This window comes from Homo sapiens, chromosome 8 (genome assembly GCF_000001405.40).
Source record: "Homo sapiens chromosome 8, GRCh38.p14 Primary Assembly".
NCBI lineage: Eukaryota > Metazoa > Chordata > Mammalia > Primates > Hominidae > Homo > Homo sapiens.
Window position 1 is genome coordinate 39,954,449 of NC_000008.11, and position 15,279 is coordinate 39,969,727.

At 40.7% G+C, this 15,279-nt stretch overlaps 1 protein-coding gene across 2 annotated transcripts in view, besides 1 other annotated feature; it reads left to right on the forward strand.

The window, feature by feature from the left end:
- Positions 1–15,279, forward strand: part of IDO2 (indoleamine 2,3-dioxygenase 2) — an 81,742-nt gene that overhangs the window by 19,798 nt on the left and 46,665 nt on the right. For both annotated transcript variants that reach the window (NM_194294.5, NM_001395206.1), the window contains one exon: positions 9,160–9,255. In NM_194294.5, coding sequence (NP_919270.3) covers positions 9,160–9,255 — 96 coding nt within the window. The remainder of the gene's footprint in view (positions 1–9,159; positions 9,256–15,279) is intronic.
- Positions 8,976–9,165: an enhancer, noted in NCBI's record as "active region_27279". NCBI's record gives its function as "activates an Ori minimal core promoter by ATAC-STARR-seq in GM12878 lymphoblastoid cells {active_cell/tissue: GM12878}" and the evidence as "EXISTENCE:reporter gene assay evidence [ECO:0000049][PMID:35858748]".

Below are 15,279 nucleotides of genomic sequence, written 5' to 3' on the forward strand. Positions count from 1 at the left end.
CTTAAAATACCACAAACAGGAGGGCTTAAATCACAGAAGTTGATTTTCTCACAGTTCTTGAGGCAGGAAGTCCAAGATCAAGGTGTCGTGGAGTTGGTTTCTTCTGATGTCTTGCTCCTTGGCTTGTAGATGGCCTCCTTATTATTGTGTCCTCACATGGTCTTTTCTCCACTATGCACAAATTCCCTATGTCTCTCTCTCTTTTTTTTTTTTTTTTTTTTTTTTGAGACAGAGTTGCACTCTGTCACCCAGGCTGGAGTGCAGTGGTGCAATCTCGGCTCACTGCAACCTTTGCCTCCCGGGTTCAAGCAATTCTCCTGCCTCAGTCTCCTGAATAGCTGGTATTACAGGTGCGCACCACAAAGCCCAGCTAATTTTTTGTATTTTTAGTAGAGATAGGGTTTCGCTATTTTGGTCAGGTTGGTTTTGAACTCCTGGCCTCAAGTGATCCGCGCACCTCGGCCTCTCAAAGTGCTAGGATTACAGGCATAAGCTACTGTGCCCAGTCTCCCCCTGTCTCTTTGTGTCCAAATTTCCTCTTCTTTAGGGACACCAATCAGATTAAATTGGACCCACCCTAAAGGCCTCATTTCAATGTACCTCCTTCAAGGGCCTATCTCCAAATACAGTTATATTTTTAGGTACTAGGGCTAGGGCTTCAGCATAGGAATTTGGGGGAGACACAATTTAGCACATAGCAGAAAATATAAGGCCAGGAAAAAATATTCTGGCATGCTAGATGGACTCATTAACAAATATTAACCAATATAAACCAATTAACAAATATTTCTTTAATATTTGCCTTTTTTTTTTTTTTTTTTTTGAAACAGAGTTTCACTCTTGTTGCCTAGGCTGGAGTGCAGTGGCACGTTCTTGGCTCACTGAAACCTCTGCCTCCTGGGTTCAAGTGATTCTCCTGCCTCATCCTCCCAAGTAGCTGGGATTACAGGTGCGGGCCATCACACCCGGCTTATTTTTTGTATTTTTAGTAGAGATGGGGTTTCACTATGTTGGCCAGGCTGGTCTCGAACTTCTGACCTCAGGTGATCCACCTGCCTTGGCATCTGAAAATGCTGGGGTTACAGGTTGCCTGGTGATTTTTAAGAGGAATGACTGAGCTCTCATGCCAGGTGGGGGGAGGGGACAGAGAAAGTTGAATACTCTGACGATAGCCATGATCCATAGCTCTGAAGCTTAGACTCGAATCTACCCATCCCGCAAGGAAGAAAACAAAGAAATAAAAAAGAAGAAAAGAAATCTCCCAATGTCAGGTCCCACCCTCTTTAGAAGTAATTTCAGCAAAACTTTGTTGCTATTTTGGCATGTCCTCTACTGTAGTAGCTTGTCAAAATACTGTCCCCAAACGTTTTCTATATTTCTAGATTTTACTGTTTAATGTATAATAATAATGTTCTAACATTAAAACGTAACCATAGCAATGCTCCGACTCACTTGATCTTTAAATATATTGTTGAACTCAATTTTGTGACATCTTCAGAATTGTCTTTTTGTATTCATAAATAGCAACAGTGGATAGTTGCCTTGGTTAGTGTTATTATTTCAAGGATTAATCTTTAGGTTACGTTTTCTTCATAAGATGCATTAGATGACTTTTTTTTTTTTTTTTTTGAGACAGAGTCTTGCTCTGTTGCTCAGACTGGAGTGCAGTGGTGCAGTCTCAGCTCACTGCAATCTCCACCTCCTGGCTCAAGAGAGTCTCTCGACTCAGCCTCCTGAGTAGCTGGGATTACAGGCACGCACCACCATGCCTGGCTAATTTTTGTATCCTTTTTAGTAAAGACGGGATTTCCCCATGTTGGCCAGGCTGATCTCCAACTCCTGACCTCAAGTGATCCATCTGGCTTGGCCTCCCAAAGTGCTGGGATTACAGGCATGAGCCACCACACGCAGCCAATTAGATGCCTTCTCATGCTTTTCTGTGTTCTGAAACAGATCATCTATCCGTTGATATAGCATAGCTCTTCAGACTACAGACATTTTAGGCTATAAGTTTTGAATTACATTTTCTATTCCCTTTATGCTTCTTGTTCTAGTTAGGTTTTTTATTTCTAAATAAAAATATGAATTTTTGCAATTTCCCAAATGCGAACTCAACTGAAATTTTCAAGTGTATTAGCAAAATTTATTCATAGCAGCCTCTTACATTTCATTAAGAATTGATTTTTTCTTATTCCCTGTTGAAGTTTGTTTATAAAATATAGTAATAGTAATAACTATATAGAAAGTGTTCACTTTGTAGTAGGCCCTGTGTTAACTTTAACTACACTTTTTAAATCTAAGCCTCATAGTAGTCTTGGATGGATGCGGTGGCTCACGCCTGTAACCCCAGCACTTTGGGAGGCTGAGGCGGGTGGATCACGATGTCAGGAGTTCAAGACCAGCCTGGCCAACATGGTGACACTGTCTCTACTAAAAAGACAAAAATCAGCCGGACGTGGTGGTATACACCTGTAGTCCCAGCTATTTGGGATGCTGAGTCAGGAGAATTGCTTGAACCCAGGTGGTGGAGGTTGCAGTGAACCGAGCTCACACAAGTGCACTCTAGCCTGGATGACAGAGTGAGACTCCATCTCAAAAAAAAAAAAAAAAAAAAAAAGAGATCAATAAATAAAATAAATAAATAATCCTCACAATAGTCTTCACCATTTGCAAATGATCCATTTGACAATAAATGAATTCAGCACTATCATGGAAATATATTTCCAAGGTGACCAGTTTTCTCCATTTCCACCCCACTTCAATCCACCTTCATGTAGCCCTAGGACTATTGTCTCCTCCCCTTGTTTCCTTATTTCCATTCCTGTTCAGCTGTAACACATTCTGTTCATAGCAGTCAAGTGATGCTTACAAATGGAAATCAGGCTAGAGGTGGTAGTTCACACCTATAATTCCAGCATTTTGGGAGGCTGAGGCAGGAGGATCACATGAGGCCAGGAGTTTGAGACCAGCCTGGGCAACATAGCGAGACCCCATCTCTACAAAAATAAAAAAGAATTAGCTGTGCATGATCCTATGTGCCTGTGTTCCAGCTACTTGGGAGGCTGAGGTGGGAAGATTGCTTGACCCAGGGAGTTTGAGGCTGCAATAAGCTATATTTGTACCACTACACTCCAGTGTGGGTGACAGAGTGAGATCCTGTCTCTAAAAAACGTAAAATGAAAATAAAACCTTGATAGTTTGCTCTTTAAAACTCTTCCTACAGGGCCCCTGTGATGCTCACCTGTCTCTAGAAGGGCATGTAATAGCTCTTTCTCCTTCACTTTACTTTGATGCAATGTCAGAACAGCTTCTTTCCATCAAAACTTAAACCTTTGATTTCATTTAAAATCATCTGCTTCAAATTCTAATCTTTCTGATAGTTTAGGTTCTAATTTTTCTGATGTTAATATTGTCACCCAAGTTTCCTGTTCATATTTACCTGGTTTATTTTATTTTTATTTTTATTTATGTATTTGAGATGGAGTCTAGCTCTGTCACCCAGGCTGGAGTGCAGTGGTGCGATCTCAGCTCACTGCAACCTTCGCCTCCTGGGTTCACGCCATTCTCCCGCCTCAGCCTCCCGAGTAGCTGGGATTACAGGGACCCGCCACCATGCCCGGCTCATTTTTTGTATTTCTACTAGAGACGTGGTTTCACCGTGTTAGCCAGGATGGTCTTGATCTCCTGACCTCGTGATCTGCCCGCATCGGCCTCCTAGAGTGCTGGGATTACAGGCGCGAGCCACCGCGCCCAGACTTTATTTTATTTTTTGAGACGGAGTCTTGCTCTCTTCCCCAGGCTGGAGTGCAGTGGCTTGATCTCAGCTCACTGCAACCTCTGCCTCCCAGGTTCAGGCGATTCTCCCGCCTCTGCCTCCCAGGTTCAGGCGATTCTCCCGCCTCAGCCTCCCGAACAGCTGGGGTTACAGATGCCTGCTACCACACCCAGCTAATTTTTTTCTTTTTTTGGAGACAGTCTCACTCTGTCGCCCAGGCTGGAGTGCACTGGCGTGATCTCAGCTCACTGCAACCTCCGCCTCCTGGGTTCAAGCGATTCTCCTGCATCAACCTCCTAAGTAGCTGGGATTACAGACGTCTGCCACCACATCAAACTAATTTTTGTATTTTTAGTAGCTGAGATTATAGGCTCGTGTCACCACGCCTGGCTAATTTTTGTATTTTTAGTAGAGACGGGGTTTCACCATGATGGCCAGGCTCGTCTTGAACCTCTGACCTCAAGTGATCTGCCCATCTCAGCCTCCCAAAGTGCTGGGATTACAGGTGTGAGCCACTGGGCCTGGCACCTGGTTTATTTTTGTGCATGCTTTTATTTTTAATTTTCCTATGCTACTTTCTTAGCCAAAATTTATACTTAATCTAATCAAGCATTAATCTAACAAAGAGTTTAGTGTTCATATAAAATACAGTTTTACAAATCTGTTTTTCTTTAAATTATAAATTTGTTAAGAAAATTATCCAAAGAATGATCCAGAAACAAAAGAATGGCTGTGTGTCTTTTCAATATCATCCTGGAGCATTGTCTCAACCATCTCACTTTACGGTGACTAAAACATCTAGAGGTTTTCCCTTTGTTTTCTGTACTTCTTAGTATTGATTAATACTGTTGTGCTACTTCAGTCTGAAGTTCCATGTTAATCTGTAGATTTTTTTTTTTTTTTTGAGACAGTGTCTCGCTCTGTCGCCCAGGCTGGAGTGCAGTGGTGCGATTGGCTCACTGCAAGCTCTGCCTCCCAGGTTCAGGCCATTCTCCTGCCTTAGCCTCCCGAGTAGCTGGGACTACAGGTGCCCGCCACCACGCTGGGCTAATTTTTTCTATTTTTTTTTTTTAGGAGAGACGGGGTTTCACCGTGTTAGCCAGGATGGTCTTGATCTCCTGACTTCGTGATCTGCCTACCTTGGCCTCCCAAAGTGCTGGGATTACAGGCGTGAGCCACTGTGCCCGGCTGTTAATTTGTAGATTTTTATACAGAAAAGCAGCAAAATATTTCTGTTGAGTAGAAAATATAACTCATTATGTGTCTAACCTAGCAATTTTATGTCAACACTATTTTCTCAAACCTCTATAAACTTTGGCTGGGCACAGTGGGTCACACCTGTAATCTTAGCACTTTGAGAGGCTGAGGCAGGTGGATCACCTTAGGTCAGGAGTTCAAGACAAGGCTGGCCAACATGGCAAAACCCCATCTCTACTAAAGATACAAAAAATTAGCCAGGCATGGTGACATGCCCCTGTAATCCCAGCTACTCTGGAGGCTGAGGCAGGAGAATCTCTTGAACTCAGGAGGTGGAGCCAAGATCATGCCACTGCATTCCAGCCTGAGCAATAGGGTGAAACTGTGCCTCAAAATGAATAAATAAAATAAATAAATAAGTCAGAGATTGTGAATAGGATGTTGGATATACCCAAGTTATGAATTAATTAGGAGCTTGAACCCAGGAGGCAGAGGTTGCAGTGAGCTGAGATCGCACCACTGCACTTTAGACTGAGCGATAGAGTGAAACTGTGTCTCAATCAATCAATCAATCAGAGATTGTGAGTAGGATGTTGGATGTACCCAAGTTATGAATTAATTAGGAGCTTGAACCCAGGTTTGTCTCAGATCCTCAGGGACTGAAGACTTCCAAGTGAATTATGGGTAATGTATAGGTCTATACTACTCCAAATTTACAGTTTTCAGACTTCCCTGGGTTCTCATGGACCTTCCATGTCATTTCTATGTTTAGGTTGAGGTCCCTGGTCTTTTCTCCTCTGTAATTAATTTCACACCCACCCCTATCTCAACTCACACAACTTGATCTTCACTCCCATCTGCTAAGAAATTGAGTCCATAAAAAGTGAACTCCTTTAAACTCTAGATCTTCTACTGCTGCAAGGACAGACATTCCATTCTGGCTCTCTCTCTCCTCCTTTGCTTCTTCCAGTCCTTTGCTCCTTCTGCATTCTGTTACTCTCCTCTCTCCTTTGTCTTCAATCTCTCCCTCTTGCAATAGCCAACTATAAACTGCTCAAGCTTCTCATTCTTAAAAGATCTCTCTGAAATGCAAATTCCCTACTGCCTTATGGCTCTCCTTCAAAAGTAATCTACATTTTCTCTATTTTCTAATTCCTCAACACACTAACGTTTGAACCCTGCTTCTATGACCCTGACCTAAATTTCTATTAAATGTACATAGATAAACTAATATATATTTGTGACTTCCTAATATTGTTTTGTTTTTTAAAGAGGTCAATCTTACTTTAACTCTGTAATGATGCGGTTGACCTTCTGATGATTCTCTACTTCTGTGAAATCCTCTACTGTCTTGACTTTTTAATTAATTTATTTTTTTTTGAGACGGAGTCTCGCTCTGTTGCCCAGGATGGAGTGCAGTGGCACAATCTCGGCTCACTGCAAGCTCCACCTCCCGGGTTCATGCCATTCTCCTGCCTCAGCCTCCCGAGTAGCTGGGACTACAGGTGCCCGCCAACACGCCCAGCTAATTTTTTTGTATTTTTAGTAGAGACGGGGTTTCACCGTGTTAGCCAGGATGGTCTTGATCTCCTGACCTCGTGATCTGCCTGCATTGGCCTCCCAAAGAGTTGGGATTATAGGCGTGAGCCACCGCACCTGGCCCTACTGTCTTGACTTTTATAGGGTCATTCTATTCAAGCTCATTGAGCGTCTGTCACTATGTTTTTGATCTGTATTGCTGGAATCAGTTCCTCTATCTGCCTTGTGAATATTCTCCATTGTGCTAATCTAGGCTTCTCCTTTCATTTTTCATATTCCCTCACATGGCTTTATACACTCTTGTGGTTTTAACCACAATATAGGGTTTTTACTGTAGTTATGCTTTCAAATTGTATACTTCTTTTTTTTTTTTTTTTTTTGAAATGGAGTGTTACTCTGTTACTCCAGTCTGGAGTGCAGTGGTACGATCTTGGCTCACTGCAACTTTCGCCTCCCAGGTTCAAGCGATTCTCCTACATCAGCCTCCCGAGTAGCTGGGATTACAGGCATGTGCCAACACGCCTGCCTAATTTTTTATTTTTAGTAGAGACAGGATTTCACCATGTTGGTCAAGCCCGTCACAAACTCCTGACCTTAGGTGATCCGCCCTCCTCGGCCTCCCCAAGTGCTGAAATTACAGGTATGAGCCATCGTGCCCAGCCCCAATTGTATGTTTCTAATATGACTTTTCTCCTGAACTTTAAACTGTGTATCCAACTTCTCAGCACAGTCATATCTTTTGATTCCACAGGTAATTTAATGTCAATATATTTAAAAATGAATTTACCACCTTTATCCCCACTCTTTGACTTTCACCTGCATTTCTGTTTCAATTCTTGTTTCCATCCATTCATTTGCTCACCTAATTCATAAACATGGAAATCATCCTCAATTCCTCTTCTTCTTAGCCCAAAAATTCAATTGTGCAGGTTATGCACTGAGAAAAAGAGCCTCAGGTTAGGGGGATAAATCAGAGATTGGTGAACTTTTTCTGAAGGGCCAAATACTAACTGCTTTAAGCTTGCTTACCATATGGTTTATGTTGCAACTACCAACTCTCCTGCTGTAATGTAAAAGCAACCATAGATAGCATGTAAACAAATGAGACAGGCTGGGTGCCAATGAAAATTCACGAAAATTAATGTAGTTTACTGTCCCTTGGGTGAGAGTTGGGGGTCACTGAAATTCGGACTATGTCTTACTTGGCTAAACCACAGGCCTAGAGTGGGCCATAAATGGAGCTATTGGGCTAGTGATTTTCTTGCCTTAAGCCCCCAGCCCCAAATTTAATAATCACATCATTTTAATTTCATTTTCCAAGTGTATCTTTAATATATGGCTTCTCCTTTCCAAATTCACTGTCATTACCTAAGTTTAGTCCTTGAACAATATTTTAAAGGCTTCCTTATCTGACTTTATATCTTAAAGTCCTACAAATTTATCTTCCTAAAATTCAAATCAAACCATGTCACCAACTTACAGAAAGGGAAAATTCATATATTCTACACACAGCACATTTCATGTAACTTTCTAGGCTCATCTTTCATCATCCTTTTGATGCAGGATTTTCTGCTCCTCAGCTCAGCGAAATCCAGGATCTTGTCTCATGACCAGGAAGAATTAGGCAGGTGGACATAGTGAAGGGTGAGGATGACGGAATTTATTAAGCAAAAGGGGAGTTCTCTGCAAAGAGAGGGGTTTCACCAGCAGTCTCCCACCTCACAATGGAGCACCAGGACTTTCACACACAAACTGAAAAGGCTAGGCTCCTCCCCAGCATAAGGCATGAATTCCTGGTGGTTCCACCAGTTTTCCTACTATGCATGTGGGTGTGCCCAAGCAAACCATAGGTAGTATCAGAAAAGGCAACATTTGATTGGTTAAAAGGCATTATTCACCCAAGCAAACCATAGGTAGTATCAGAAAAGGCAACATTTGATTGGTTAAAAGGCATTATTCAGAAAGAATCAATCGGGAAAGGGTGAGCCAATAGGGGAAGTTCTCCCTCTGGGTCACGGGTTTCATCTGGGACCAGGAGTCTGGCCTTTCAGCCTTTAGACTGTTTTAGGCTTGAAGGTGGGTTTCACAGGGACCCTTCCCTATCTGCCTAGGCATCTGTCTGCCTCCTGCCTCTATCACTTTCTCTTGAGTTTTATATTTTAGCAACACTGAGTCATCTTTGTCCCAGGAAGCACCTACATCTGTTTATCTGCTGTCCCCTCTACCTTTACTACCTTCCCTTCTTCACATTTATACCCAGAAAAGTCACTTCCCCTCCAAAAATTGGGATCAACTGTCATATTTTTATGAATATTTCACTTTAATTCCTCACAACAGCTGACAGAATTAACTACTTCCTCTTCTTTGCAAGTTATTTGGCTCACACAGATATCAGTAATTAAACATATTTTACTGCATTGGCATATATCTGACTAATGTGTTTTTCTCCCGTACTAGGCAATATGCTCCTTAGTCATCTGTGTATCTGAGGTGAGCACAGGGCCTAACTAGCATATGGTGCATTCTCAATGTTCGTTCAACTGCATTGACTTGAATTCCCCTGAAGACTGAAATGTGAAAATAGCTACTCTCGGAAGCCCCTTTCCAGAGAGGTCTAAAATATTTACATGTTTCTATTTTAAATGCAGAAAGAACTTCCAGATCATTATAGGCCTTGGATGGAAATTGCCAACAAACTTCCTCAATTGATTGATGCTCACCAGCTTCAAGCTCATGTGGACAAGGTATTCTTCTCTTCACCCCCTCATCACATTCTGTTTTCATCATCATACCACTTTTCTTTCTTAGCCTTGTGGAAGTGTGTCAATTGTCCTGGGAAACTGTTCATTACCATTGAACTTATCAGCAAAGCTATATCTTCCTTCCTGAAAAACAGAATGACCCCTTCGTAATCTGATACATGTGTTTTCCTAAGGTTTTCAGAGCCAGCACAAAACAATGCCTGACACATGCCAATAACTCACCAAATGTTTGTTTAAAGAAGAATCTGGGTGGGAATGATAAACTAACTAATGGACAAGGTATCGCCTAAGAAGGTCAGCTTGGAAATTCTCAGGTTCCTCATTCCATGTACGTACTCAAGGCTCTGTTGTTACTGAGGGGGTCTAACTTGATTTTGTCCTAGGTGTTATAGAATAGTTAAATGGAGGGAATTTCTGAATTATAAAATTGGCCATGGGTTCTACAAAACATCCAATAAGCCTGTAAATTCCACACAAGTGTTGATTAGGCTGATACAAAGGTAATTGCAGTTTTTGCCATTACTTTTAATGACAAAAACCACAAACACTTTTGTACCAACCTAATAGCTATGTAACCCTGAAAAAGTTACTCAACTCTGTAATCCCATTTCCTTATTTATAAAATGAGAGAAACTCTGGTCTCACAGTATTGTTATGGGAAGTAAATCACTTTCAAAGTGGCCCTTTTGTAGTTCTTGTCCTATAATAGCATTCAGTATACATTCATTACTTCTCTGTAGTCTCTTCTCCATCTGTCCTAATCTATCAGTTTGGAGTACCACATAATTGCGGAAGTCCATGAAAAGTTTTCCGCTCTCCAAAATTTCCCTTTGCTGATGGATAATATTTAATGTCTAGAATTACAAATTCTTTTTAAAATACTCATTGAATGTTTGCTTTGTGCAAAGCACTAGAACCTTGTAAAAGATGAGTAAGGGACTGGCTTCAATGTCTGTGAAGATAGCAAACTAAACAGAGTAATTTCTTTGCCTGATAGATAAAATGTTGTGTTGACATGACCAAAGAAATCCAAAAATAAGAAAAAAACTATCTGTAAACACAGAAAAATAGAGAAAAGTTCCAATGATGGAATAAAAATTTAAAGGATTTTTTTGAACGTATTAAGCAAATCATGTATAAAATCCAGAAATAAGTTTACAGGACCCATGTCAAGGATTTAACCAAAGCAGAGGGAGATCCCCATGAGTCCCCTTTTCCCATCTCAGAATAGCAGAGAAGAGAAGCAAGGGAAGCCTGGAACAGTTGGCAAGAGGGCAGGTTAGAATTCAGTTTGTGAATTATGAGGTCGTCTGCCGTAGGCATTTACCAGGCTTTATTTGATTTAACTGCCATAAAGGAAGAGAAGGACTTGTTAAATTGGGGCTCCTCTTAGCACAGCATTGAAACCAGTCCCTATTCCTTCTTGGCCTTTTGGCTAAAATTGAGTGTGAAATCTATCACCTAACATTTGTACTGGGTTTAGGCTGGGTGTGGTGGCTCACGCCTGTAATCCTAGCACTTTGGGAGGCCAAGGCTGGCGGATTGCCTGAGCTCAGGAGTTCGAGACCAGCCTGAGAAACATGGTGAAACCATGTCTCTACTAAAAATAGAAAAAATTAGCAGGGTATGGTGGCACATGCCTGTAGTCCCAGCTATTTGGGAGGCTGGGGCAGAAGAATCACTTGAACCCAGGAGACAGAGGTTGCAGTTAGCTGAGATCACACCACTGAACTCTAGCCTGGGCCACAGAGTGAGACTCTGTCTCAAAAAACAAAACAAAACAAACAAACAAATATATATATATTAAAATACAAATTTTTACTGGGTTTAATAGTGTCTTCCTAGAAGTCATGTTCATGCATAATCTGTGAAAGTGGTCTTATTTGGAAATAGGGTGTGTACAGATGTATTCGAGTTAAGCTGAGGTGATACTGGATTAAATTGTATATGATGAGTGTCCTTATAAGAAGAGGAAAAATTAAACACAGGAACATAGACTCAAGGGAAAACATCACGTGAAGATGGAGGTAGAATTGGAATGATGCATTGACAAGCCAAGATGTGCCAAGGATTGCTGGCAGTCACCAGGAGTTAGGAGACAGGCATGGAACAGAATGGAACAAATTCTCCCTCAGAGGCTCCAGAAGAAACCAACCCTATTGATACCTTAATTTGGGACTTCTATGACTTCTATCTTCCATAACTGTGGCAGAGTACATTTCTGCTATTTTAAGTCATGATGTTTGTGGTCATTAGTTATGGCAGCGCATAAAACTAACACAACACTCTTGGTCTCTATCGCTTCTTTTTTTTTTTTTTTTTTTTGAGACAGAGTCTCACTCTGTCTCCCAGGCTGGAATGCAGTGGTGCAATCTTGGCTCACTGCAACCTCCAGCTCCCAGGTTCAAGCAATTCTCCTGCCTCAGCCTCCTGAGTAGCTGGGACTACAGGCACCCGCCACCATGCCCATGTAATTTTTGTATTTGTAGTAGAGACGGGGTTTCACCATATTGGCCAGGCTGGTCTCGAACTCCTAACCTTGTGATCCACCAGCCTCAGCCTCCCAAAGCCCTGGGATTACAGGCCTGAGCCACCATGCACGGCCTCTATCCCTACTCTTAATTGCCTGGAAAATACCTAACAAATGAAGGCCAGTTTTTAGACTTTACCACCAAAGGCTGAAATTGAAACAGGAATTGTTTGTGAGAAGCAAACACAATAGTTTCGAGAGACTGAATCAGTTAGCAATTTCCTGTGAGAGGCAAATGTAATAGTTTCTAGAACCACAGATGGAGCTATAACAAAAACATGTGTTCTCTGGATCCTTTACTTGCTACAGACAACACAATAAGTGAATTTACAGCTTTGATCTTACAGTGCACCTAAGCCAACCACCTTGTCTTAGAATGTCTCAACATACCTATCTGTATCTTGAAACAAAATATATTAATTGCCTTAGACCCATTCACTCACATTTCCTAGGAAGACATGATCAGAGGGAGCTATGCAAGAAGAAATCCAGCAGAACTCTGGAAATACAATAAGAAAATCCATATTAGACACTAATCTTAATAAAACTAACCTTCGTTCATGAATTTGAATAGACAAAATTACCAAATAATATGGAAAAAATGGGCAACTCAAAAAGAAGAGGGTAGCCCACTTGGCATTCAGGACCAATGGCCTCCAATAAATAAGATGATATTAGTGCTTTAAATATTTTATTTAGTGTATCCAGTATATTGCCTTCCTAAATTAAGTGAAAGCTGATATATAAAAAGAACTATTAGAAATAAAAAACCACACACATCCCAGAACTCCTCAATATAAACCTAACAAATTCAGTAAAACATTGATTGCAAAAAATATATATAGTGACTTAGGGACTTCCTTGATAAATTTCATAAAGCATAAAGAAAAATCAAAGAGTGCAAACCATCAGAAAAATACAAATATATAAAAAAGAGAAATACAGGTGATCCAAATTCCTTTTAATGGAATCCCATAAGCAGATGGGTGGAGGAAAAGTAAAACTTCCAACATATAAGCACAAAATTTTTAGACCTTAAGAAATATTTGAGTTTTTTATATCAGAAAGACAGTGTTGGGGTGAGGGTTGGGGGGCACATGTAAATACTCAGATAAAATTGTGAATTTTCTAGGGTAAAGAAATCTGCATATTCATAGAAAACAAAAATGAAAAATAGTTTATTTACAGAGTAAATACATACGACTGTTTACCTGTAATGCTAAATATTAAAAGACAGTTTCTTTTCTTTTTTTTGAGACAGAGTTTCACTCTTGTTGCCCAGGCTGGAGTGCAGTGGTGCTATATCGACTCACTGCAACCTCTGCCTCTGGGTTCAAGCAATTGTCCTGCCTCAGCTTCCCGAGTAGCTGGGATTACAGGCACCCGCCACCACACCCAGCTAATTTTTGTATTTTTATTAGAGACGGGGTTTCACCATGTTGGCCAGGCTGGTCTCAAACTCCTGACCTCAGGTGATCCACCCGCCTTGGCCTCCCAAAGTGCTGGGATTACAGGCGTGAGCCACCGTGCTGGCCTAAAAGACAATTTCATACCTATTTGTATGGCTAATTTTTTAAAAATCTGGCCATATCAAAATACTGAAGAGGACGTATAGCAATAGAGACTTTCATTCATTGCTGGTTGAAATGCAAAATGGTACAGCCAGTTTGAAAACTAGCTTGGCAGATTCTTATAAAATGAAACATAGATTTACCATGCAACTCAGCAATGGCATTCCTAAGCATTTATCCAAGTAAATGGAAAATGTATGTTCCCAGAAAAAAAATCCATATATGAATGTTTATAACAGCTTTATTCATAATCACCAAAAAAAAAAAAAAATCTGGAAGAAAACAGGATATCCTTCAACCGGGGAATGAATAAACCAAATTATAATAATTGTAAATTGTGGGATGGATAGTGGAATAGTATTCAGCGATACAAATGATTGAGCAATTAATTTGTGCAATGACAGGGATGAACCTTAAATACATTTACCTAAATGAAAGATGTCAGGCCTATATTGTATGATTCTTTTCAAATGACTTTTTAGAAAGGGCAAAACTAGAAGGATTAAATATAGCTTTATGGTTACTAGAGACAGGTAAGGAGTGGGTAGTTGACTGCAAAGGTAATATATAGGGGAATGTTTAGCATGATGAAACTGTTTTATATGGCACTCAGGTGATGGATATATGGCTCTAGGCACTGAAAAACCCATGGAATTGTATGTCACAAAGAATGGACTTTCATGTATGCAAATTTTAAAAAATAAACCAGAAAATTGGGAGAATACTAGGATGGAATGCAGACTGTGATAAATAAAACTAACTGGACTCTCAGCAAACTAACACAGGAACAGAACACCAAACACCGCATGTTCTTACTTATAAGTGGGAGTTGAACAATGAGAACACAAGGACACAGAGAGGGGAACATCACACACCGGGGCCTGTTGTGGGGTGGGGGGCTAGGGGAGGGAGAGCATTAGGACAAATACCTAAAGCATGAGGGGCTTAAAACCTAGATGATGGGTTGACAGGCGCAGCAAACCACCATGGCACATGTATACATATGTAACAAACCAGCACATTCTGCACATGTATCCCAGAACTTAAAGCAAATTTTTAAAAAAGTAAAAAAAAAAAAAACAAACAACAACACCTAACTGGACTACAAATGCACTATATAACTTCGATGAAGAGAGTGGGGAGTAGGGAAAGGAACGGACTTAAATTACTCCAGAAAATAGTGTTGTGTTGTGACTAGAATCTATAAGGCTTACGGTAAATGAAACTTTACAGGATCACTATACTCTAATTGGTAAATCAGTTTTTCATGGGGTGCGGGTGAACAGTTGTGAAACTGCTTTACATGTAGTCATACCTTTGCATTTTGCAGATATTTCAATTTTTACAAATTGAAGATTCGTAGCAACCTTGCATCAAGCAAGTCTGTCAACCCCATTTTTCCAATAGTGTGTACGCATTTGGTGTCTGTGTGTCATATTTTGATAATTATAACAATAGTTAAAACTTTTTCTTTACTATTACATCTGTTACAGTGATCTGTGATCAGTGATCTTTAATGTTACTATCATAATCGTTTTGAAGGTGCCATAAACTGTGCCCCTATAAGTCCTGAAACTTAATTGATAAATGTATGTGTTCTGACTGCTCCACTGACCAGCCATTGCCCCATCTCTCTCCCCCTCCTCAGGCCTCCTGATTTCCTGAGACATAATAATATTGAAATTAGGCCAATTAATAATCCTACAATGGCCTCTAAGTGTTCAAGTGAAAGGAGTTGCATGTCTCTCACTTTAAAAATCTAAAACTAGAGGCTGGTCATGGTGGCTCAGGCCTCTAATCCCAGCACTTTGGGAAGCCAAGGCGGGGAGATCACCTGAGTTCAGGACTTCGAGACCAGCCTGGCCAACATGGCGAAACTCTGTCTTGACTAAAAATGCAAAAATT